The following is a 25,947-nucleotide window of genomic DNA, read 5'->3' as shown; positions in this document are numbered from 1 at the left end:
TCTGGGTTCTGCATTCGATGGCCTAAGTATGAATCCTAGTTTTACTAACTTGGCATTTGACCTAAGGCAAGCCATTTAACCTGTTTCTCACTGATAAAATAGAAAAACAGTTCCCTACCTCATAAGGTTGTGGGAGAATTAAATGAGAAGCTTAGAACAAGGTCTGACACATAGTAAACACTCAATAAACACCAGCTAATATTATATAATGTATATATAGATTTAAGCAGAAAATGCATACATGATCTAGGGAAAATAATATCAGTGTCTCTTATCTGGGATTAAATCAAGTCAAAGAAATATAATCTGTATAAAACACTAGATATGGAGTTTAAATGTAAACCTGTAGTCTCTATATTATTAACTAATCACACTGCTGACTGCTGCAAACCACAGATAACTCATATTATTCTTGTAACCAATTTCCAGTTTGCTTACAAAGTCTGCATTTCTGAACATCCTTCTCACAATTTCTCCTAACTCATTTCCCTTCAAGTCATTCTTCTCTTTCTAGTTGCTGTCATTTCCCCATTCCCCCATCTCCTGAGGTTCATGGGCAATTAATATATGATTAAACTTTACCTCACATACTACCTCAACTATCCAATTTGTATAAAAGCTATTTCCTTGATACTGGACTGTCAAAATAGAAAAATACCAAAATGTGTGGTGATGCTGAAAAGTAACCTTACCTCAACAGTATTTTTCATTTTGTTGAATGTCTCTTGAAAGTGGCCCTCTTTTGGACTAGCAGAAAACACAGAAAAATCTCCAGCAAATAAAGTAAGAAGGCCTGATTTGGATTCTGGTCGCCACTGGAGGTTGCTTGCAGCAATTAACATATGAGGCTTAATAATGTCCTCATTAAGGTCTATCCAAAACTTTATTGCCAGTAAATTGTAACATTCGTCTGACAAATAGACGAAAGGGGCAAGTCCTAGAATGGAAAAAAAAGAAAAGAATGTTATTATAGATGTGTTAGATGAATTTTAAGATGCAAGAAAGGAAACTCTAATATGCCTATTTATTTTGGTATATGCTAATAATAAAAGCAAATCAAAATAGCTGAATTTGGCGAAAGCTCAGGTTTTCCAAAATGACCTGTTGCTTACAGTGCTAAAATTTCAATACCAATATGACAACACATTCTTTTACTGAGGTCATGTGGAAGCAGGTATACGCACACATTGCTAACAGGAGTACAGATTTGTGCAAGATTTCTGGAGATAAATTTGGCAATACCTAGCAAAGACACATATCCATTTACCTTTGCACCCAGTAATCCCATTTCTTGTACTCCTCTCTGAAGATAGACCTCTAATAATAGTAAAATACACATGAACATAAAGTTCATGAAAACACCTATGAACAAGGTTACTCACTGAAACATTATAATTATAAAATATTGGAAGCAACTTTTATTAGCTCATATACAGGATAGAGTTGGATAAACTGTGGTACATCCAAACAATGGTGTACCACGTAGCTGTAAAAAAAGAGTGAGGACGATTTCTATGAACTGATCTCCAGGACAGTGTTGAGTTAAAAAAGAAAAGCATAAAAGAAAGGCTAGAGTATGTTCCCCTTCTTATAAGGAAGAAGGGAATATAAGAAAATACACATGTATCTGTTCATTTGAGCAAAAGAAATCAGGAAGGATAAACTCAGAAACTAAAGGAACAGGGTGTGAGTGGGGGAAAAAGGAGGATTAGGATTGGGACTGCAAGGATAAGGAGGAAGTGACATGAAGTATATCTTTTTGTACAGGTCTGACTCCCTAGAACCACAGTGATACTTCACATACCCAATAAACCAACCAACAAACAAATCCAACTAGACATGAGGGAATCCAAAATGGAAGACAAACATTTCCCACCTCTGTCTGCTGAGAGGGCCTGGCAGTACTGATGCCTCCACAGTAAAGTAATGAGCCTATCTAGCAACCAGATCTTGGATCTAAACACCATTTTCTACTAAAAAAAAGAAGCCAAGAGAAATGGCTGATTCCAAGACTAGGGCAGGGAACATATAAGATGAACTTGGAACATCTTGTGATGTCAAAAAATAAGGAAGTGTTCAAAAAGTGAAGAAAGCTGGTTGAAAGAACACACGAGTCCATATGAGAAAGCTCCTAATGGTCAAAGCTAAAAAAAAAAAGTTAAACAATAAAATAATGAAGGTACCAAATTTTAACCTGCAGAATAAAATAAATGTTCTTGAGTCCATACTGATATAAATAACCAAATAAATACATTGGTGGAAAGGGCACAGCTTTTCCTTATAGAATTCCAATTAATGTAGAAGGAAAGAAAGGGAGAAAAATCATAATTAGGCAAATACCACAGTAATCATTGTTGCAAACAAAATCAACTGATGAATGCTAGTTTGATGTGAAATAGGATTCAGTCTCAAAGAATCTCCCTCAAGATATTTATTAACTACAAAGAAAAAGGAAGTTATTGTACAGAGGAGAAACCCAGCAGATTATCACCTTAATCAAGTGATTAAGATCAGTATCATTAACCCCTTGATATGATGTACTGAGAAAGACACATCATCACTTCAGTGGTAGTCTTGCCAGAAATGCATAACTTCATCCTAGTCATGAGAAAACATCAGACGAACTCAAATTGAGGGGAATGCTACAAAATAATTGATCAGTCTATTCAAAAACATAATGATCATTATCAGTCTATTCAAAAGCATAATGATCATGAAAAAGAAGACAGGAAGTATTAAAGACTGGTAGAAAATACAGGGGAAAAATGACTAAATGCAATTTGGGATCCCAGAACAAAAAAGGGGAAACAGGGTAAAATACCTTAAACTCAAACAATTTTTCAAATACATCTACAGTATGGGTAATAATTATACCACTATTAACTTTCTGATTCTAATTGTACTACGGTTATGCAAGATGTTAACATTAGGGGAAGCTAGGTGAGGAATATTTGGAAATTCCACGATTTTTGCAACTTGTTTAAAGGTCTGAAATTAGTTCAAAATAAAGAGTTATAATTTTTTTTTTTTTTTTTTGAGACGCAGTCTCACTCTGTGGCCTAGGCTAGGGTGCAGTGGTGCAATCTTGGGTCACCGCAGCCCCCGCCTCCCGGGTTCAAGCCATGTTGGCCAGGCTGGTCTTGAACTCCTGGCCTCAAGTGATCTGCCTGCTTTGGCCTCCCAAAGTGCTGGGATTACAGGCATGAGCCACTGTGCCTAGCCAAGAGTTATAAAATTCTAAAGTGAAAGATGGGTAGGTGCTATCCATTCTATCCTGGGATAAACCAGGATAGAACTGAGGCTAGGAAAGCTGGAGTTGGAAGAGGCACTAAGCATTTAATTCTACTCTTTATACTTTATTGTTTTTGTTACTCTGAGAATTATGTATCCGTTGTAAATAACAGGGAATGGAAATGTCATTCTCAGATAAGGATTTGTTTATTCTATTGCAAATGATGGTTCATCTTTTCTTTCTTTTCATTTCAAATTTATTTAATGGATCTTAATTTTAAACACTGCTTTTAAAGAAATTATAAGTTTCTCAAGCATGTTCCATTTTCTAATTTTGGAACTTGCCTCTAATTATATTCAAAACTTGATGATAGTACTGTCCTTCTCCCAAATGTCCTTTTTAAATATATCTTGTTTTCCCCAAATATAAAATACATGTTTATTGAAAAACATTTAGAATACAGAAAAATAAAAAGTAAACAGTGTAGTTTCCTCATTGCACTTTTACGTAAGTGGAGGTTTCCATGTCTGGATCAAATTCCATCAAAAGAAATGGAAGCCTTATTTCTTTAATTATCATACAACTGATAACAACTGGAAGAATTTTTAGTGTAACACTTTTAGAATCCTACACTAGGTAAATCTTCACAAGACAAAAGGAAAAGAAGAAACTTATTTTGCAGCTTTGTGGTCTGGCCTACTCTGAACTTGCATAGAATTCTTCAAAGCTTTTAATTCCTTTTAGAAAATGTCACTGAAACAATAAAGGACTTAGCAATTTATAAAACCACTGTCACCGATTCCACCTGGAGTGGATGCCATGGTGCGGGTGCAGATCCCCTTCAGGACCAAGGCATGTGATCCTCCAGCTTCTGGGGAGAGCTAGCTATTGACAACTCACCTCTGAGTTCCCTCCTGGACTTGCCCTCTGTCGAAAGGCATTGTCTTGCTTAAGGCTATGCCCCTCCCTGGAGGAGCCAGTATGCAAGGACTGGCTCTTGCCTCAGGCTAGCAAGACTCTGAAGGGCCACCCAGCTCCAGAAGTCCCTGTGGGACTAACTGAACCTTTCTTCTTCTTCTGCCCAATCCTGCTGCATTTGCTTCCTCACAAGTGCTGTTCCTAAGGGCATTTTCTAATCTCCTACATGAAATCTGTAAGTCTGTTTCCCAGGGAAACAGGCTTTCCCCAAAACAAATCTTTCCCAACCTAAGAAAGGTTCTCGTTTAATTAACTCATTATATATCACAGTGTTTCTGTAATACAGTAACAAAGCATTAGATTAAAAATACAGATGTCCCTGTTTTAAGCCCAACTCTCAAATGTTGAGTTTGCTTTTGTTTTGTCAGCATGAAGTATAAGAAAGAACCTAAGAGCTTTAGGGCCTGAAAGTATAAGTTCAAATCAATTTATAGCATTGTGACCCTGAGCAGGCTACTTAACCTCTCTGAGCTCCAGTTTCCCCATCTGTAAAGTGGGATGATAATAGCAAATGAACAGTGTGACTATGAGGACCGTATGAGATGCTGCATACCTGGAGTTTTCAACAACTGACCCCTGCTTCAACCCATTATGTCAGAAGTGGAAGTAGAAATCCAAACAGAGTCCCTGTCCTTGAAGAGATCATTGTATTACTGAGGCTAGTAGGTGGCTTATTCAGAAGTGTACAGGTAGGATCATGGACCATGTGACAAGTGCTGAAACAGCCAAACCAACAAAATGCTTCAAAAGCTGGAGGAAGGAGGATCTAACCCAGACTGTAAGCATCTGACTAGGGAGGTAATACTTGAGCTGAATAATGAATAGGACAAATTCATCAAGAGGGGGAGAACAAAAGAGCATCTATGCAAAACAAAGAAGATTTTTAAAGGTAGGAAGCATTAAATGTTATCATGCATCAGGAATATGAACTTGTACAGTTTGTTTTATTATTATGTTTTAAAGTAGTTTTTTTTTTAAATTTAGTTTTTATGTTTATAGAGACAGAATCTCACTGTTGCCCAGACTTGTCCCAAACTCCTAGCCTTGCGAGCCGCCTCAGCCTCCCAAAGTCCTGGGATTACAAGCATTAGCTACTGCGCCCAGCCTAAAATTAGAGTTTAGCTGACGTGTGTATGGTGGTGGTTTAAGGCAGGAAGTTGAATGGTTTTGGGGGTATACAAAAGAGTCTGGGTTTCATTTTCTAAGGGACAGGGGACCACTGAAGATTTTAAGCTGGGAGGCATCATGACTAGATCTGGGTGTTAAAGACTTCTGGTTTAAGGTGGCTCCTTGAAACTTTCTAATAGAACTTTAACACTTAAAAACAAATTAAATTTTAAAAAGGAAACATTCACCCAAAATCTACAAACGTGGAATATCATGATATAAAATTTAAAATCTGGTGATTAAGAAACAGAAGATTATGGATAGAACTAAGCACAGGAAGGCTCAGAGTCTAATCTCCTTCCCCAACTAAACTGGTAAAATGACATTTTTGAGAATTCTGTTATTCCTAAATCTGAAGAATCTTTACCTTTTTCTTCTTCTGAACAGAAATGAGAAAAAACTGCCAGGGACCAAACAGGTGACCAGGACTGACTGACATAAGGAAAGGTTCCAGGATGTTACAGGATACATTGTGACTAATTCCCAGTACCTGTGAATGCAGCCTTATCTGGAAACACAGTCGAGGACAACTTATGATGGGGTTATGTCACAATAAACCCGTTGTTAGTTGAAAATGCATTTAAATAGGGACACATCAATTGGAATGATGACAGATTTCTCATCTAAAACCAGAGGCCAGAGGGAAGTGGCACAATATTTTTCAAGTACTGAAAGAAAGAATTATCAACTACAAATTCTATATCCTGAAACAATTCTCAAGGAATAAAGGAGAAATAAAATATTCTGAGATGAGAGAAAACTAAAAGAATTTTCTCTAACTCAAAAATTGCCTAAAAGAAATTGTTTAAACAGAAAAGAGAAGATTAAAGGAAGACTCTCAGAGCATCAGGACTGAGGACAATAGGATGGAGGAAGAAACAATGGAAAGAGTTTGAGAAATGGACATATACGATAAGCTATCATTTCCTCATGCAGTTTATAAATTATGTTTGATGACTAAAACAAAAATAATAATACTATGATATCCAAGAAAATAGTATTTAAAAGTAGGGAAGAAAAAGGTCTGTATATGGTCACTATCCAATCCCTTTCCCTCCAAAATCAAAATGAAAGCAAAATTCTCACACTTCACTTAGAGTGGTAGAATATTGATACTAGTAGACTGCTGTAAGTCATACATGTATGTTGTAACACCTAGAGAAACAACTACAAAAATAATACAAAAATGCCTGAAAACACTAAAAATAAATCAAGATGGAATCCTAAAATATATTTAAGTAACCTTCAGGAAGGCAAGAAAAGAGAAATGGAGGAATGAAAAGCAGGAGAAACAAATAGAAAACAAATAATAAAATGACAAAGTTGAATGCTGGCATATCAATAATTACCTTCATTGTAAGTGATGTAAATATCCAATCAATGGACAGAGATTGAAAGAGTGGATAAAAATTTATAACCCGACTATTTGTTCCTTATAGGAAACTCACTTTAAATTCGACAAAGGTAGATTAAAAACAAAAGGATCGAAACAGATATACTCTGCAAACATTAATCAATTTGACTTAATTGGCTTTCCTTCACGTGGCAATAAATGTGACTTTCAATCTCAAAAAAAAAAAAAGAAAATGCATTTAATACATTTAACCTACTGAGCATAGAGGTTAGCCTAGCCTATCTTAAATGTGTTCAGAACACTTATATTAGCCTACAGTTGAGCAAAATCATCTAACGCAAGGCCTGTTTTTAAAAAAAAAAGTGTTGAATATCTCATGTAATTTATTGCATACTGTACTGGAAGTGAAAAAGAATAGTTGTAAGGTACTCATGTTTTGTTTTCAGACCATTATAAAGTTGAAAAATCCTAAGACACGCTGGGCATAGTGGCTCAAGCCTATAATCCCAGCACTTTGTGATGCTGAGGCAAGCAGAATGCCTGAGCTCAGGAGTTCAAGACCACCCTGGGCAACATGGTGAAACCCCAGCTCTATTAAAATACAAAAAATTAGCCGTGTGTGGTGGCACGTGCCTGTCGTCCCAGCTACTCGGGAGGCTAAGGCACAATAATTGCTTGAGCTGGGGAGGCAGAGGCTGCAGTGAGCTGAGATCACACCACTGCACTCCAGCCTGGGCAACAGAGTGAGACCCTAACTCAAAAAAAAAAAAAAAGATGAGGTCATATGTGTAGGGTCCAGCCCTATGCGGCTTAGCGGGTGTTCTCGTGTGCGGAGACAAGAGATTGTAAGAAATAAAGACACAAGACAAAGAGATAAAGAGAAAACAGCTGGACCCAGGGGACCACTACCATCAAGACGCGGGAGACCGGTAGCGGCCCGAACGGCTGGGCTTGCTGATATTTATTGCATACAAGACAAGGGGGCATGGTAAGGAGGGTGAATCTTCTAAGTGATTGAAAAGGTGAAGCAATTCACGTGATTACAGGATAGGGGGCCCTTTCCTTTTAGGTAGCCGAAACAGAGAGGGAAGGCAGCATACGTCAGCGTTTTCTTCTCTGCACTTATAAGAAAGATCAAAGACTTCAAGACTTTCACTATTCCTTCTACCGCTATCTACTACGAACTTCAAAGAGGAACCAAGAGTACGGGAGAAGCATAAAAGTGGACAAGGAGTGTGACCACTGAAGCACAGCACCACAGGGAGGGGATTTAGGCCTCCGGATGACTGCGGGCAGGCCTGCGTAATATCCAGGCTTCCACAAGAAGCTGGTGGAGCAGAGTGTTCCCTGACTCCTCCAAGGAAATGAGACTCCCTTTTGCGGTCTGCTAAGTAACGGGTGTCTTCCCAGACACTGCCGTTACCGCTTGACCAAGGAGCCCTCAAGTGGCCCTTATGCGGGCGTGACAGAAGGCTCACCTCTTGCCTTCTAGGTCACTTCTCACAATGTCCCTTCAGCACCTCACCCTATACCCGCCAGTTATTCCTAGGTTATATTAGTAATGCAGCAAAGAATAATACTAAAAGCTAATGATTAAGGTTTATAATGATTGCTAATTGTCCATGATCATCTCTATATCTAATTTGTATTATGACTATCCTTAATCTAACTATTTTCTTTATTATACTGAAATAGTTTGTGCCTTCAGTCTCTTGCCTCGGCACCTGGGTAATCCTCCACCCACACATATGGGCAGGCTCTAATATAATGACTGGTGTCCTAATATATGGGGAAATTTAGACACAGACATGTACATTGGGAGACCACCACCTTACAATGAAGCAAAGGTGGAGGTGAGACATCTACAAGCCAAAGAATGCCAAAAAATGCCAGCAAATCACCAGAAGCAAAGAGAGAGGCAATGAACAGATTCTCACAGCCTCAGAAGGAATTAACCCTGCCAACACTTTGATCTTGGATTTCCAGCCTCCAGAACTGTGAGAAAACAAATTTCTGTTGTTTAAGCCCCCAGTCTATGGTTCTTTGTTATAGCAAATAAATACACGGCGTTACTCACTGAACTGGGAAAAATGATCTAGAACCAGAGACATCTTCCAGGGATACATACTGTATCATGAATAGAAACTCAAATATCCAGCCCTCACACTGTAACTAAGGGGGGGAGAAATTAATCTTGGATAAATAGAGAGTCAAGAATTACACTGGGTCATGGCACCGACCTTCTCACTTTATTTTAGTGTAAGTCCAGTATTTTGTTTCCTACAAATCTACCTAACATTTTTTTTCTGCTTCATACAAATGGTTTTTCTTACATGCACACACACATTGATTCATTAATTATTGAATGCAACTAATATTTTATCAGATTTGAGTAACTGTTCAATAATTACATCATTACAGTGAATTACATAATATGTTTCTGAAAACAGCAAGCAGAAAAGATGATTATCATTTTTTCTTTATTTTGAGATGCAGTCTCGTTCTGTGGCCCAGGCTGGAGTGCAGTGGTGCGATCTCATTTCACTGCAACCTCCGCTTCCCAGGTTCAAGCAATTCTCCTGCCTCAGCCTCCTGAGTAGCTGGGATTACAGGTGTGTGCCACCACCCCTGGCTAATTTTTGTATTTTTAGTAGAGAAGCGGTTTCGCAACTTTGGCCAGACTGGTTTTGAACTCCTGACCTCAGGTGATCCACTCACCTCAGCCTTGATTAGCACGTTAACAGAAAATCAAATGAAATATGAAAGTGGTCAATATTTGAGTGCCTAAGGACCCTGTCCCACAGAGTTCTAAAACTCAGCAGCCAGTCTCAGGGCCCACTCACAGTACTCTAGAGCTTCATTCATGTTTCCTTTCAATTTGTACAGAAACCTAAGGAGGCTTAAGCTTTCCAGGTCTAACGCATTTCTCTGAAGTTTCCTTAAAACCAGTTTCTCCAAAGAATTGACACTTTTATCCCTTGAAAATTATGCCTTTTTCTATTTTTATTGCTTTTAAATAACGGATAATTGCACTGACATCAGATTTCTTTTGAAATTCCTGAAATCTACCATAGTGCAAATATATGTCTTGCATTATTTCTTCTACCACTGGTTTCATGCACAACACTTTTTGAAAAGTGTCTTCAGCTTTTCTGTGATTGCCTGCTTCTATATACTTTCCTGCCAGTTCTATATAGGCAACCTCAAATGTGGGCTTTTGTTCCACAGCAGATTGAAGATGAAATACAGGTGATCTTATCATTTTGTCTACCTTTTCTCTGTTCTGCCCTCTAGGCTGCTTGTTGGTAGCTTCCTTCATTTGGATCTTTTGTGTCCTGTCACAAAGCCCTATATGGTGATGCAGGAAGGCAGAAGTGGGAGTTGCCTGCAAGGAGGTTTTTAAGAGCTCAAGAGCTTCATCCACAAAGTCTTCTCTTCAGTAAGAAGAGAAGACATATCCAAAGACATATCCAAAGACAAAGGTCTGCATGGACGTATTGGCCAGAGCTCCTTCAAAGTACTTTTCTCCTTCAGCTTCCTGTCCTTCATCCCAAAGCTTCAGGGCAAGAAGAACCTTACTATATCTATCATCTACATTTAGCCTGACAGCCTGCCTTAGGGTAGGCAAAGAAAATGACTTGTGATCCCCCGTTGCTAATTTAAAGCCATCCAGGCGACAGGCGGTGATTTCATACCCAGTGTTGAGTTCAGGGTTTTCAGCAGCCACTGCCAGATCCTTTTCAAAGCAGGCCTTGGCCTGTTCATAATTCTTCCCTCCACATTCCAGCAAGGCCCGTTCTTCCTCACAGTCCATCTCTGGACATTCCATTCTGTGACAGAAAGGACTTGAAAACTTCTTGCAAATGTTCTCTACCTTGTCCAGGTAAGTCTGGGTTTCTGCCAGTCTGCCCATGTGGTAATACACCCAGGCAAAGTTGCCCCAGGTTACCAGGCTTCTCAAATCTGATTGGCATCTTCTTTCTGGATTAAGTCTTCAGCTTCTTTCAAGTTCTCCAGCACTTCCTCATTCTGGCCTTTCGGGTGTTTCACATAGGCTAGTAGGTTGTGTATTGTGTATTCCCACACTGTATTTAGTCTAGAAACCCAATCTGGTCCAAGACTCTGTTTTCCAAATCAGGCATTTCATCATCTTTAATTGATACCTCCCATGTAAAGTAACATCTTAACTGCTCCAGACTATCCTTGACCTGATGATCATCAGCATTTTTACTCATGGTTGCTGTGAATTAGGCAGCAGTTCTGCAGTGGTTTAGCCGGACTCCTCTGACATCTAGGCCTCCTCACTTTTTCTTCTCCCACACACCTTGCCTTGGGGCCAAGAGCTGATCTGTGTCAGTCCCCATAACAAGCACAGGCTCCCCCATAAATATATACACCTGCTATAAACACACAAAAATTAAAACATTTAAAAAAGGCAGCACAGGCTCTCAGTCATGCCAAATTCCCTGGATTCCGCTTCCAGGCTTTGGATGTGGCCTTTCTGGGCACCATCTCCTCCTACCTCTTCATCTCCTCGAATCCTTTCAATGGGGCCTCTGGAACTCAGTAAGATCTCCACTACCGTCACCCTTTCCTGCAGGTGCTCTCATTGCCATCTTGTTGCAACAAACCTGGTTCTTGTCTGCCTGTACAGTTGCCCCTGCAGACCTTGTGCTACTGGAGGCTGAGATGAGGCAGATGTCTTCCTCATGCTTCATTGCTGCTCCTCCCACTCTAAAAACACTCAGTTTTGAACCTCGTGTTATCAGACTGTCATTCATTACTGTTCCTTGCTACAGGCATCCATTGACCCTGGCTCACTCATTGCCTTTCATTCCTTGAAGATTTTAACTCATAACTCACTGTCATTCTGTCATCACGATGGTCATGTTTCCTGGAAATTTCAGTATCCTCACAGGCAATCCTTCCAATACTCTGTTGCTCCCAAGTTCCTTGTTTTCTTCCTAAATGATCATGTCCTCTATTTTCCACTGGTAACTCACTGCAATGGACATACCCAAGACTTTTATTTCCAATAACTCCATTTCCCCCAGAATCTCAATTTGAAGTACCTCCTTCTTCAACCACCTACCTTTGATCTGCCCAGTTCACTCCCTCTAAAACCCTAACTCAAACCCACCGTGACCTACAATCAGCTTTTCTTATCTCCTGTTCATTGATCCACGTCTTCTAATGTCTCTTCTTTGCTCTGCATTGTGTCCAAGGTCAATTATTTAAATCCTCCTTTTGCATATACCCCCAAATTCTTTGCCCTTCTTGCTTTGCATTACTTACCCAGCTAAACTACAGACCTGGTTAAATTCTACTTTCCAACTACTTCATGCCCACACCATCAGAGCTGAACACGGTTGAAAAAATATCACACAACAACAATATATTCATGAACATTAAACCTCCAGTGGGCCCTGGCAGTCATGATGTGTTTACTTAGTCCATTTACTCTACCACTTTCTTAGATAATGATTTCATGCCTTTCCTCTTCTCTCAAACCTTCAACACCCTTTTCTTTCTCTTTTTCTTTTTTGAGACGGAATCTCCCAGTCTGGAGTGCAGTGGTGTGATCTCAGCTCACTGCAAGCTCCACCTCCCAGGTTCACGCCATTCTCCTGCCTCTGCCTCCCGAGTAGCTGAGACTGCAGGCGCCCGCCACCACACCCGGCTAATTTTTTGTATTTTTAGTAGAGACGGGGTTTCACCGTGTTATCCAGGATTGTCTCCATCTCCTGACCTCGTGATCCACCCACCTTGGCCTCCCAAAGTGCTGGATTACAGGCGTTAGCCACCGCGCCTGGCCCCCTTTTCTTCATTCTGACTCTCAGCTGATGATTTTGTGCCCTGTTTCAGCGAGGAAATAGAGCAATCAAAAGAGGTCTGCCACAAGTTTCCTCTTGTATATCAACTCTTCCATTGGTATCTATACCTACGTACTTTACTTTTTTCCTGTGATTACAGATGAACAGTCTCTCCTGCTAGCTAAGGCCAATTTCAACAGAGCCTCTAGATACCATACCACACAGTATCTGAGAACAGTGCCCCACAGCTGTTCCTGTTTTGCTTCCATCTTGCATTTTACCTTCTTTATTGGATCTTTCTCATCAGCATACAGTATCTCATCAGTATGCTATTAGCACTTTCAACTGAAAAAGCAAATGTTCTCTTGATCCTGATTCCCCTTCTGGCTACTGATTCATTTCTCTTCTTCTCTTAAAGCAAAAATCCTTGAAATGCCTATATTCACTATCATTCCTCCTTTCCCTCCATTTCCTTTGCCCCACTTCAGTCCACTGAAAGTGCTCCTCCACGGTGTTAAAGCCAATGATCAATTCTTGGTCCTCACTTCATTATCAATTCTATGAAATAGCATTTGGCAGACTTAATCACTCTCACTACTCGACAATTCTTTTTTTCTCTTGGCTTTCAGCATACCTCACTCCAGTATTCCTCCAACCTCTCTGGCCATTCCTCTGTTTCTTTTACTGATTCCTATATTTACATTTATATTTCCCTGCTTCTAAGTATAAAAGGCTTCAATCAGGTCTTGGATCTCTTCCCGTCTCTATCTACTCCCATGCCCACAGTGACCTCATCCAGTCTCACGGCTTTAAATGTCCCCTGTATGACTGGCCGGGTGCAGTGGCTCATGCCTGTAATCCCAGCACTTTGGGAGGCCAAGGTGGGTGGATCACGAGGTCAGGAGATCGAGACCATTCTGGCTAACACGGTGAAACCCCGTCTCTACTAAAAATACAAAAAAATTTGTAGTAAAGACTCCCAAATTCATATCCAGCCATTCCTCTGAACAGATTCCTATGTAACCATCAAGTAGACATTTCTACTTAGATGCCTAATAAGCATCTAAAACTTAACTGTCTAAAACTGAGCTCCTGAACTTCCCCACATACTTGCTTTTCTTGCAGTCTTTCCTTCTAAGTGGCAATTCCATTTTTCCCAATGTTCAGACCATCCTGCACCGTCCCCCTACCTTCAAAATACAACAAGAATCTGACTGCTTCTCACCACTTCCATTGCTTTTGTTTGGTTCATCATCTTTTGCCTAAGTGCTTGAAAGAGCCTCCAAATGGCTTGTTTGTACTCTTGTGCCCCCTACAGCCTATTCTCAACACAGTGGCCTGAATGATTCTGTGAAAACCTGTCAGACAGTGTCCCTCTACCTGGAATTTTCCTGTGACTTCCTGTCATCACAGGAAGTTACAGTCCACACAAGGACCCCCACACGACCTGGCTCTTCACTGCCTCTGTCCCTGGATGTTACTTCTCACTCTCTGGTCTCTGCCAATGCTTCACGGCACACTAGGCATGATCCTGCTGTACTGCGGCCTTTGTAATTGCCTGGAAAGCTTTCCCCAGATGGCCACATGCCTCACCTCACTCCCTCAATTCCTTCAAGCTTCACTCAAATGTCAGCTTTCCAGGGAGGTCTCTCTCCTCACCTCTCAATCTAAAATTACATCCCTCTCTCTTCTCTGACATTACCCCCTTACCCACTTAATTTTTTTTCTGAGCACTAAAAAAACTATACACATGTATATTACTTATTTCTTTGTTTGTAATCTCCCTCCCCCAACCTCATAATGTAAGCTCTATGAGGGTAGGGATTCTTATCTGTTTTGTTAATCGCTATGTACCCAGCACTTAAAACACTGTCTAGCACATAACAGTCATTAAATAAATATTGATGAATTAAATGAACAAAAGTTATCCACCTTCTATAATAACAATAAAATGTGTGAAAAGAGTCATCCAAATATGACCAAGATGAAATAAAATGGCATGGGAACAATGTGGCTTACTAATATAATATAGTCAAAGAAAAACCTACGAAGCACTAAAACATAACTCACCAAACACAAACACATTTAAAAAATAAGGAGAAAACACAGCAAAAGAGAAAGAGCAAAACTCCTAAGAAAACAAAACTCAACAAATAGAAGAAAATTCTTGAATTCTTCACAACAGATTCATGCTATTGAACTTAGTAAGACCATATATTCAATAAAATAAAAGCTTGACTCTGGCCAGGCACGGTGGCTCACGCCTGTAATCCCAGCACTTTGGGAGGCCGAGGCTGGTAGATCACGAGGTCAGGAGATTTAGACTATCCTGGTTAACACGGTGAAACCCCGACTCTACTAAAAATACAAAAAATTGGCCAGGCTCGGTGGCGGGTATATGTAGTCCCAGCTACTCGGGAGGCTGAGGCAGGAGAATGGTGTGAACCTGGGAGGCAGAACTTGCAGTGGGCTGAGATAGCGCCACTGCACTCCAGCCTGGGCAACAGAGTGAGACTCCATCTCGGGGAAAAAAAAAAAAAAAAAAAAGCTTGACTCTGAGATAATAAATAGCCCTGTACAATGAAAAGTAGAGTGTATGGCTAAGGAAATAAATTGAGGACACCAATATAACATCACAATGGGATAAACACATACACCAGAAATAGTAAGAAAACATAAATTGCAGAAAATAAAATTAAGGACAATTTCTATAAAATTAAGTACACAGACTAGGATGTAACTTGTTACCCTTGAAATAATATAGAATTGAGAGAATTGCTTTTCATGAAAAATCAGAGGTTCAAAGAGGCTTACTTTCAGATCACTAGTTAGCTAGCAAATTTGCCAACTGGTAGCTCCAACTAATCATAAGAGATTTTAAAAGACAATGTTTTTTAAAAGAATCAATAAAAAAAATTAACTATATTGTGCATTACCTGTTTTTTTCACAACAGAAACGACAAATCCTATTAGGTCCACCTCAGAACAAGATGGCTGAAAGTCTGGATCTAAAAATTTGCTGAAGTGAAGGGGCTCCCGTGGCTGGTAAATCTGAAATAAAATTTCATCTGAAACCTACAGAAAACAAAACAAAAATTCAACATATGGAGATTCCATAAACTAACAAGCACTTATCAAAACTGAAAAATTACAATGAAAGGTTTGTACCGGTAGTTGTTGATACTGAGTTTTTTTTGTCGCTGCTAACTGTATGTTAGCTCTTTCAGATTTACTTTTAGATTTTGAAGTTGCAAGATGATAAATTCTGTATCTCTTTCCTTCTGTTAACAGAGAATATAAATCTGATGATGGACGCCAAATACTCAGTATAACTGTTTGGAGAAAGATGAGAAAGATGCAATGGAAGAAGTGATTATCATTTAAATGTTTGTTTCAAAATAAATACAGATCCTCTTTTATATTATCTCTTTGTGGGCATTAGTAGTGGATTTTGCTTCTCTGATATAAACTAACTTTATACTTTATCTGGATTTATAATCATTTTGTTAGTAAGGTCATTTTTTAAGTTAATAAAACTGATAAAAACAAAGCATTTACATACTTACCTGAATCTTTTTCTTTTTTTGAATAGCTTACAATACGCAACTTCCACACGGTTGTGACATCCCTTGATAAACCTTGTTCCTTTTGTTCAGCAGATTCCATGGCCTTCCTAATTTCCAACTGGATCTGAGCTTGTTTCTTATCATTCAACATTTGCCTGTGATTATTCAAGGCTCTTAACTGCTCTTCACTGAAATAACCCTGTGACCATTTAAGATATTGGAATAAAAAGCAATCAGAACAAAAAAGTTCCATCTATTGTAACTAGATGGCTTTAAACAGGACAAATACAACAAAATTAGAGCTCATCTTAAGGGTGTGGTTAATGTAATCAGTTTCTCACATAATATTCTCAGGTGCCTCAAACTATTAATAATTCTATTTCCCTACGGCAAAAATGATCCTCCAATTATAAATGTACTCTAATAATCATAATCATCACCAACTACATTACAGATGGCTAATATCTGAATGCTCATTATTTTGAGAAATAGATCTATGTGTAGTAAATGTACTAATTCATTTAATCTTCACAACAGTCCATGGGGTAGGTAATATCATTGTTTCTGTGTTGTAGGTAAAACTGAGGCACAAAGGGGACAACTAATTTGCACAAGCCACATAGGTAGTAGAGGTTGGCCCTAGAACCCTCATTCTTAGCCCCAGGAGTATAATTCCATTAACTTTGAAATAGTAGATACAATTTAAAACAGATATGTACTAAACATACTTTTATGTTTGCCTCTACACTTCTGTCCTACTCACTTTAGCAAATTTCTACTTGTACCTCTTGGGAATCTTACCCAGTGTAACAAAAATAAACAGATAAATCAATAAACAAATAAAATAGGAAATGGAATTTAGACATGTAACATACCAGACTGCTGCTACACTTTAGGATATTATACATCTTAATATCCTAATCTCTACCGGGAAGGGAGATTATCTATACTGAAAAGGGAGACTATCCAATCTCTGTATCTTAATATAGGTATAGAGATTCTAAATATGCAGGCAGTGTTTAAACAATTTTGTTGTAAAACCTGATTTCAAAAGGCCATCATTCAACATTGTTACTGAAAACAAATTCTAACAGGACTGTTTTAAAAATGGATGCCTACGTTCTCCTCAAAGAATTACAAAGATAACTTTAATAAAGTCAAATCTCATAGACTCATAGGCACTTAGAACCCTAAAGATAACCTACTCTTAGGTTTTCCCTTGATAGAAGGTGGAAATGAGGTCCTAAGAAATAAATACATCACTTGTCCAGTTACAGAGTGGCTGGGCAAGGCCCTACTCCAACTCTTATTCTGCCCCCTTATGTCCAGACAAAAAAATATTGTTAAATTTTGTGGATGAAATTAAAGCTATCTTCATGATGATTCATAGAATGCACAAGCTTCAACAAATAATATTATAAAAGATAGAGGCAAATAATTTTTCAAGAAAGAATCATAAAGCCTTCATTTTCAGACCTGCAGCAAGTATACTCACAGGTTTTAAAACCGGACTCACTTCTCACAGGGAGAACCCAAATTGTAACATTTCGGAACAGGAGGGAATTCTACTCAGTATAGCACTGCTTACATTACTGATGAAATATTGTTTATTTTGTAGTCCCACTATTTAAGAAATTTAAGGCTATATTCACAAGATTTACTAAGTCATCAAGTGAATGAAATTAATCAATTAAAAACAAGTAGTTTTGGTAAAATATTTGCTCCTTCCTCCCTAACAAACTAATCTTAGAATTTGAATTTTTTTTTAGCTATCTACCTGTCTAAAAATTTAGGAGGTAGTTTAATATATAAAATTATGTTCTAATAATAGTAACTAACATTTATATGGAACTTTTATATAGATTATTTATTTGATCCTAAAACAACATTTTACGCCCATTTAATAGCTTTTTTTTTTTTTTTTTGAGACGGAGTTTTGCTCTTGTTGCCTAGGCTGGAGTGCAATGGCATGACCTTGGCTCACTGCAACCTCTGCCTCCTGGATTCAAGCGATTCTCCTGCCTGAGCCTCCCGAACAGCTGGGATTACAGGCATGTGCACCACGCCTGGCTAATTTTGTATTTTTAATAGGGACGGGGTTTCACCACGTTGGCCAGGCTGGTCACGAACTCCCGACCTCAGGTGATCCTTCTGCCTCGGTCTCCCAAAGTGCTGGGATTATAGGCGTGAGCCACCGCGCCTGGCCAGCTATTTTATTGTCATTTACTTTGCTAATAAAATGAGAGTGCCACGATTCTAAAGCCTATGCTACTTCTAACAGTTTAGTGCTTCGGAAACATTTCTACCCAAGTACCCTTAGGGTAGAGGATTATCAAGTACACTCCAGGAAGGACTTGAGAAACAGCTAAGAACATGGAAACTAAGCCATTACTTTGAAGATATTTGTTTTATCTTAAAAATAAAAAAGTTTTTTTGCTTCAGAGTACAGGAGGGACAAAAATAAAACAAGTTTTGCCTGCATTTTAAACCAAATTTAATTAATATATAAAATTCTAGAACCCTCCCATCCTCTACTCGGTATATAGTTGAAAACATACCACCACACTCGTCTGGCACATCACTGAAAATCCCAGAAATGTACACATCCCTTTTGAGAAATGCAGCATTTCAACATACTCCTTCCTGTGATGGCCAGAGAGTCTAAAACAGCTTCTCACCTTGAATAATCATCAAGCCTCATTATATGTCCTCTTACTCTCTCACCTCAAGGTAAGCTGGGTCTGCTGCATTCTTCACTGCTTCATAAAGCTCTGCACCATCTTGCAAAGCACGAACTTGCTGTCTTGTTAGTGCACGTGATGGTAAATATGGTTTTGTTGTGTTTTCTAAGAAAACAAAAGGATTATTAATTCACTAAACTGTAAATTCAAAAGCAACTAAAACTAAAGAACCAAGCATAAAACACCCAAAGAAGGGAGATTTAAAGATAAGAAACTATATAACTGCTAAAAGTTTTTTCTTTTTTTTTTTTTTGAGACAGGGTCTCACTCTGTCACCCAATCTGGGAGTGCAGTGGTGTGATCTCGGCTCATTGCAACCTCTGTCTCCTGGGTTCAAGTGGTTCTCCTGCCTCAGCCTCCCGAGTAGCTGGGATTAGAGGCACATCCAACATGCCCGGTTAATTTTTGCATTTTTGGTAGAGACGGAGTTTCACCATATTGGCCAGGCTGGTCTCAAACTCCTGACCTCAAGTGATCCACCACCTTGGACTCCCAAACTGTTGGGATTACAGATGTGACCCATGACACCTGGCCTGCTATAAGTTTTCCAGGAAATTTTGAAACCAGTGTACTCATGTTTAAAAAAAAAAAAAGTCATACAGAGTTTAATTACAGTAATATGTGAGTTAACATAGGTATATTTGTTTTAATGTATTTCACTTCACTGAGTTTCATAGATACTGCATTTTTTTAAAAACACAAATTGAAGGTTTGTGGAAACTATGTTGAGCAAGCCTACTGGCGCCATTTTCGCAACAGTATGTGCTCACTTCATGTCTCTGTCACAGAGCTCTGACAGAGATGTATAGAGTGATTAATGTTATTTTCATGACTCCTAACACAATATCCATTTTGTGGCCCATGGATCATGGAGTCATTTCAACTTTCAAGTCTTATTATTTAAGAAACATGTCTTGCCGGGTACGGTGGCTTACACCTGTAATCCCAGCACTTTGGGAGGCCGAGGCGGGTGGATCACCTGAGGTCCGGAGTTCGTGACCAGCCTGACCAACATGGTGAAACCCCGTCTCTACTAAAAATACAAAATTAGCCGGGCGTGGTGGCACATGCCTGTAATCCTAGCTACTCCGGAGGCTGAGGCAGGAGAATTGCTTGAACCTGGGAGGCAGAGGTTGCTGTGAGCCAAGATCACGCCATTGCACTCCAGCCTGGGCAACAAGTGCGAAACTCCATCTCAAAAAAAAAAAAAAGAAACATGTCTTATAAAGAATAGCTGCCATAGTGATTTCTCTGATAGATATGGGTAAAGTGAATTGAAAACCTTCCAGAAAGGATTCACCATTCTAAATACCATTAAGAACACTAGTGTTTCATGGGAAGTCAAAATATCAACATTAACAAGTTTACCAGAAGTTGATTCCAACCCTCATGGATGACTTTGGGGGGTTCAAGACTTCAGTGGAGGAAGTAACTGCATATATGGTGAAAATAGCAAGAGAACTAGAATTAGAAGTAAAGCCTGAAGATGTGACTGAATTACTGCAATGTCACAATAAAACTTAAATGATAAGGAGCTTCATACGATTTGGCTCTGTGTCCTCACCCAAATCTCATCTTGAACGGTAATCCTCACGTGTCGAGGGACGGACCTGGTGGGAGGTAACTGGATCACGGGGGCAGTTTCTCCCATGCTGTTCCATGATAGTGAGGGAGTTCTCACAAGATCTGATGGCTTAAAAGTGAGAGTTCTCCCTGTACTCTCTTTCCTGCCACCTTGTGAAGAAGGTACTTGCTTCTCCTTCATCTTCCACTATGATTGTAAGTTTCCTGAGGCCTCCCCAGCCATGTGGAACTGTGAATCAATTAAACCTTTTTCCTTTACAAATTACCCAGTCTCAGGTATTTTTTATAGCAGTATGAGGATGAACTAATACAGATAATTGTTACCAGGAGTGGGGGACTGCTATACCGATAACCTGAAAATGTGGAAGTGACTTTGGAACTAGACAACAGGCAGAGATTGGAAGAGTTTGGAGGGCTCAGAAGAAGACAGGAAGATGTGGGAAAGTCTGGAACTCCCTAGAGACTTGTTGAATGGTTTTGACCAAAATTCTGACAGTGATGTGGCCAGTGAAGTCCAGCCTGAGGTGGTCTCAGATGGAGATGAGGATCTTATTGGGAACTGGAGCAAAGGTCACTCTTGCTATGCTTTAGAGCAAAGAGACTAGTGGCATTTTGCCCCTGCGCTAGAGATCCGTGGAATGTTGAACTTCAGAGAGATGATTTAGGGTATCCTGTGGAAGAAATTTCTAAGCAGCAGAGTGTTCAAGGTGTGATGTGGCTTTTTCTAGAAACACAGTCATACATGTTCACAAAGAGATGGTTTGAAATTGGAACCTATATTTAAAAGGGAAGCAGAGCATGCAAGTTTGGAAAATCTGCAGCCTAACCATGAAGTAGAAAAGAAAAATCCATTTCCCGGGAAAGAATTCAAGCCAGCTGCAGAAGTTTGCATAAGTAACAAGGAAACAAACGTTAATAGCCAAGGCAATGGAGACAGTGTCTCCAAGGCATGTCAGAGATCTCCACAGTAGACCCTTCTATCACAGGCCTTGAGGCCTAGGAGGGAAAAATGGTTTTGTGGGCTGGGCCCAAGGCCCCACTGCTCTGTGCAGCCATGGGACATGGCAACCTGTGTCCCACTTGCTCCAGCTCCAGCCATTGATAAAAAGGGCCAAGGTACAGATCAGGCCATTGCTTGAGAGGGTGCAAGCCCTAAGCCTTGGTGGCCTCCATGTGATGCTGGGCCTGTGGGTATGTAGAAGACAAGAGTTCAGCTGTGGGAGCCTCTGCCTAGATTTCAGAGGATGTATGGAAGTGCCAGGATGTCCACACACAAGTCTGCTGTGGGGGCAGAGCCCTCATAGAGAACCTCTGTTAGTGCAGTACAGGAGGGAAACCGGGAGGGAAACTGTGAGGGAAATACGGGGTTGGAGCCACCTCCCACAGTCCTCAGTGGGGAACTGCCTAGTGGAGCTGTGAGAAGAGGGCCATCATCCCCCACTGACAGCCTGCACTGTGCAGCTGTCACTCAATGGCAGCCCATGAAAGCAGCTGCAGGGGCTGTAGACTGAAGAGCCAAAGGGCAGAGCTGCCCAAGGCCGTGGGAGCCCACCCCTTATATCAGCATGCCCTGGATGTGAGACATGGAGTCAAAGGAGATTTTAGAGCTTTAATGACTGGCCTGGGTGCAGTGGCTCACTTGAGGCTAGGAGTTATTTTTATTATTTTTTTTTATTTATTTTTTTGAGACAGAGTCTTGCTTTGTTGCCCAGGCTAGAGTGCAGTGGTGTGATTTTGGCTTACTGCAATCTCTGCCTCCTGGATTCAAGCAATTCTCCTGCCTCAGCCTCTGGAATAGCTGGGATTACAGACGCGTGCCACCACGCCCAGCTAATTTTTGAATTTTTCATAGAAACAGGGTTTCACCATGTTGGCCAGGCTGGTCTTCAACTCCTGACCTTGTGATCTGCCCACTTCAGCCTCCCAAAGTGCTGGGATTACAGGAATGAGACACCCCACCCAGCGAGGCTAGGAGTTTTAAGACTAGCCTGGCCAACATGGTGAAACCCCATCTCTACTAAAAATACAAAAATTAGCTGGGCATGGTGGTGCACACCTGTAATCCCAGCTACTTGGGAGGCTGAGGCATGAGAATTGCTTGAAACAGGAGGCGGAGGTTGCAGTGAGCCAGTATCTCTCCACTGCACTCTAGCCTGGACAACAGAGCAAGACCCTGTCTCAAAAAAAAAAAAAAGATTCATTGATTGCCTGGCTAGGTTTCGGACTTGCATGGGGACTGTGGCCCCTTTGTTTTGGCCAATTTCTCCCACTTGAGATGGGAACATTTACCCAATGCCTGTACCCCCATTGTATCTTGGAAGTAAAGAATTTGCTTTTGATTTTACAGGCTCATAGGTGGAAGAGATTTGTCTTGTCTCAGATGAAGACTTTGGACTTGAACTTTTGAGTTAATGCTGGAATTAGTTAAGACTTTCGGAGACTGTTAGGAAGGCATGATTGGTTTTGAAATGTGAAAAGGACACGAGATTTGGGAGGGTCCAGGGCAGAATGATATGGTTTGGCTCTGTGTCCCTACCCAAATCTCATCTCAAATTGTAATCCCCATGTGTTGAGGGAGAGACCTGGTGGGAGGTGATTGGATCATGGGGGTGGTTTCCCCCATGCTATTCTTGTGCTAGTGAGGGAGTTCTTATGAGATCTGATGGCTTACAAGTGGCAGTTTCCCCTGCACTCTCTCTTCTGCCACCTTATGAAAAGGGTACTTGCTTTGCCTTTGCCTTCCGCCATGATTGTAAGTTTCCTGAGGCCTCCTCAGCCATGTGGAACTGTAAGTCAATTAAGCTTCTTTCCTTTAGAAATTACCCAGTCTCAGGTATTCTTTATAGCAGTGTGGGAACAGATTAATACAGAGCTGCTTCTTATGGATAAGCAAAGAAAGTAGTTTCTTGAGAGGGAATCTAGTCCTGGCGAAGGTGCTGTGAATATTGTTGAAATGACAACAAAGGATTTAGAATATTACATAATATTCTGATAAAGCAGAGTTTGATAGAATTGACTCCAATTATGAAAGCAGTTCTACCATGGATAAAATGCTATCAAACAGCATTGCATGCTACAGAGAAATCTTTCATGAAAGGAAAAGCCAATCAATGTTGCAAATGCCATTGTCTTATTTTAAGAAATTGCCACAACTGCCCCAACCTTCACCAACTACCACTCTGATCACTCAGCAGGCATCAACATTGAGGAAAGATCCTCCACCAGCAAAAATATTACAACTCACTGAAGGCTCAGATGATCATTGGCATTTTTTAGCAATAAAGTGTATTAAGGTATGTGCATTGTTTTTTTTAGATACAATGCTACTACACATTTAAGAGATTATGCTATAGTGTAAACATTACTTTTGTATGCTCTGGGAAACCAAAATATTCGTGTGATTTGCTCTACTGTAATATTTGCTTTATTGCGGTGGTCTAGAATCAAATCCACAGTATCTCTGAGGTATGCCTGTGAATGATTTCATATTCATTTATTTATGAAAATAGTATGATCTAGTGATAATTTTAAGCAAATAAAGCATAAGGAGCAATATTTCTGCAGATAACTATAGAACTGTAAGTTCTATAGGACATGTAACTTATAGTTCTATAGGACATGTAAATTACATGTCCTATAGAACATGTTACATCTATATAAATCATGAGGAAATGCAGAAAAACATAAAATCTTCAGCAACAACAAAAGGGAGATACGAAAAAATAAAATTTATGTCATATAAACATCAAAACACCATGATTTTTAATATTAAAATTGACACCACAATAGGTCCTAGTTCCAGGCATAATAACACATGAAAGCTAATAACTACCATGACAAAAATGCAAAAGCCACATCATATAGGTAAGAATTCAGGAAAAATATTACAAATGGCTTAGACCTGATATTTCTGTCCCTTGTTGCTATTCTTTGTCTAACACCAAAAAAGAATACCCTAGATACTAAAAAATAAAGTCAATTTACTACTCAAAATAAAAACAATTTACTCATTAAAAATGTTAAATTCAAAGTCTCTAAGACTTTGTTCTCATATTAGAAATAACAATGTGTACCATATAACTAATTTTACCTTCATGTTCTTCAAATTCCTCCTGAATTTTAGTGAATAAGGCTTCTAGTCTCTTTTGTTGGGCCTCCACATATTTTGCTGCTTCCTTTTCTTCCTCTCTTTCATTGCGAAATATGTATAATCCAGATGATGTCTTCTCCATCCACTGTAATAATGTGTTACACACACCAAAAAAGTCACATATATAACATTCAAGTTAATTGTATCAGGCCAGGCACAGTGGCTCACATCTGTAATCCCAGAACTTTGGGAGGCTGAGATTAGTGGATCACCTGAGGTCAGGAGTTCGAGATCAGCCTGACCAACATGATGAAACCCCTTCTCTACCAAAAATACAAAATTAGCCAGGTGTGGTGGCTCAGCTACTTGAGAGGCTGAGGCAGGAGAATCACTTGAACCCGGGAGGTGGAGGCTGCAGTGAACCAAGATCACGCCATTGCACTCCAGCCTGGGCAAGAGACCGAAACTCCATCTCAAACAAACAAACAAATTAATTGTATCAAAAGAAAGAAATATATGGTAAGTTTCAAGAATACATCATACCTGTATAGGGTATGCTCTTTGAATAATTACATCAACACAACCAACATTTCCTCCATCACTGAAAAGCGATGATAAGGGCAGAGGAAAAGGTCTAGGGTCAGGAAAGAATCCAAGTTTGGTATACCAGCGAGCAGGCCGAGTACTGTTAGCAGAAATCTGGACAAATTAATAAATATATTGATTTAGTAGTTAAATATGTATTCAATTCTATTACAGATATCATAAGAGTTTTCATTCTTCTAGAACTGCCTTAAAAATATTCACTTTAAAAAGTCTTAGGAAGATTAGTAAGACAGTAAATAAGTAAAAAACTGTATAAAAGTGAAAATATTTTCACAATATAGTACTTCTCAAACATATTGTTTATACTGCTACAAGTTCTTAATGCTATTTAAATGTTTCTATTAGAAAACAGATAAAAGGAACTTCGATTTAAACATAATAGTTTAAAATACACTTATTTACCCAAGCTTCCTCAAAAAATCTACATGGACAAAGGCAACTAGAGAGAATAGGAAATGAGGTATCACCAAAATTTTGGAAGCTAAGAATTTGTGGAACAAGTAAATGACAAAGCAGCCTGAGAATGATTATGGCTAATACAAAAAGCAAATATTCATCGAACACTTACTAAGGTACCTGGCATGGTGTTAAGCGCTTTATGTATATTAACAATTAATCTTTGGCCAGGCAAGGTGGCTCATGCCTGTAATCCCAACACTTTGGGAGGCCGAGGCAGGCGTATCACCTGAGGTCAGGAGTTCGAGACCACCCGGGCCAACATGGTGAAACCCCGTCTCTACTAAAAACCAAAAAAGTAGCCAGGTGAGGTGGTGGGCGCCTGTAATCCCAGCTACTCGGGAGGCTGAGGCAGGAGAA

The 25,947-nt window shown here is 39.7% G+C and overlaps 1 protein-coding gene and 1 pseudogene across 7 annotated transcripts in view, besides 2 other annotated features; both read right to left on the bottom strand.

The window, feature by feature from the left end:
* Nucleotides 1-25,947, bottom strand: part of BRCA2 (BRCA2 DNA repair associated) — an 85,192-nt gene that overhangs the window by 4,643 nt on the left and 54,602 nt on the right. For 5 of the 7 annotated variants that reach the window (NM_001432077.1, NM_000059.4, NM_001406719.1 and 2 more), the window contains 7 exons: nt 25,069-25,224; nt 24,526-24,670; nt 18,835-18,956; nt 16,111-16,309; nt 15,713-15,876; nt 15,481-15,619; nt 693-937 (listed from right to left, as the gene is read on the bottom strand). In NM_001432077.1, the coding sequence (NP_001419006.1) occupies nt 693-937; nt 15,481-15,619; nt 15,713-15,876; nt 16,111-16,309; nt 18,835-18,956; nt 24,526-24,670; nt 25,069-25,224 (1,170 nt within the window). Of the gene's footprint in view, nt 1-692; nt 938-15,480; nt 15,620-15,712; nt 15,877-16,110; nt 16,310-18,834; nt 18,957-20,219; nt 20,284-24,525; nt 24,671-25,068; nt 25,225-25,947 lie in introns of all 7 variants that reach the window. The other 2 variants (NR_176251.1, NM_001406720.1) reach the window with 2 other exon arrangements.
* IFIT1P1 (interferon induced protein with tetratricopeptide repeats 1 pseudogene 1) lies at nt 8,985-11,024 on the bottom strand (annotated as a pseudogene).
* Nucleotides 10,798-10,847: an enhancer, noted in NCBI's record as "active region_7555". NCBI's record gives its function as "activates an Ori minimal core promoter by ATAC-STARR-seq in GM12878 lymphoblastoid cells {active_cell/tissue: GM12878}" and the evidence as "EXISTENCE:reporter gene assay evidence [ECO:0000049][PMID:35858748]".
* Nucleotides 13,740-14,034: an enhancer, noted in NCBI's record as "tiled region #1962; HepG2 Activating non-DNase unmatched - State 12:CtcfO, and K562 Activating non-DNase unmatched - State 13:Ctcf". NCBI's record gives its function as "activates a minimal TATA promoter and a strong SV40 promoter by Sharpr-MPRA in HepG2 and K562 cells {active_cell/tissue: HepG2 | K562}" and the evidence as "EXISTENCE:reporter gene assay evidence [ECO:0000049][PMID:27701403]".

The sequence above is a fragment of the Homo sapiens genome, chromosome 13 (assembly GCF_000001405.40).
Source record: "Homo sapiens chromosome 13, GRCh38.p14 Primary Assembly".
In the NCBI taxonomy this organism is placed as follows: Eukaryota; Metazoa; Chordata; class Mammalia; order Primates; family Hominidae; genus Homo; species Homo sapiens.
Note: the sequence above shows the minus strand (reverse complement) of the source record. Positions and strands in the feature narration are given on the sequence as shown.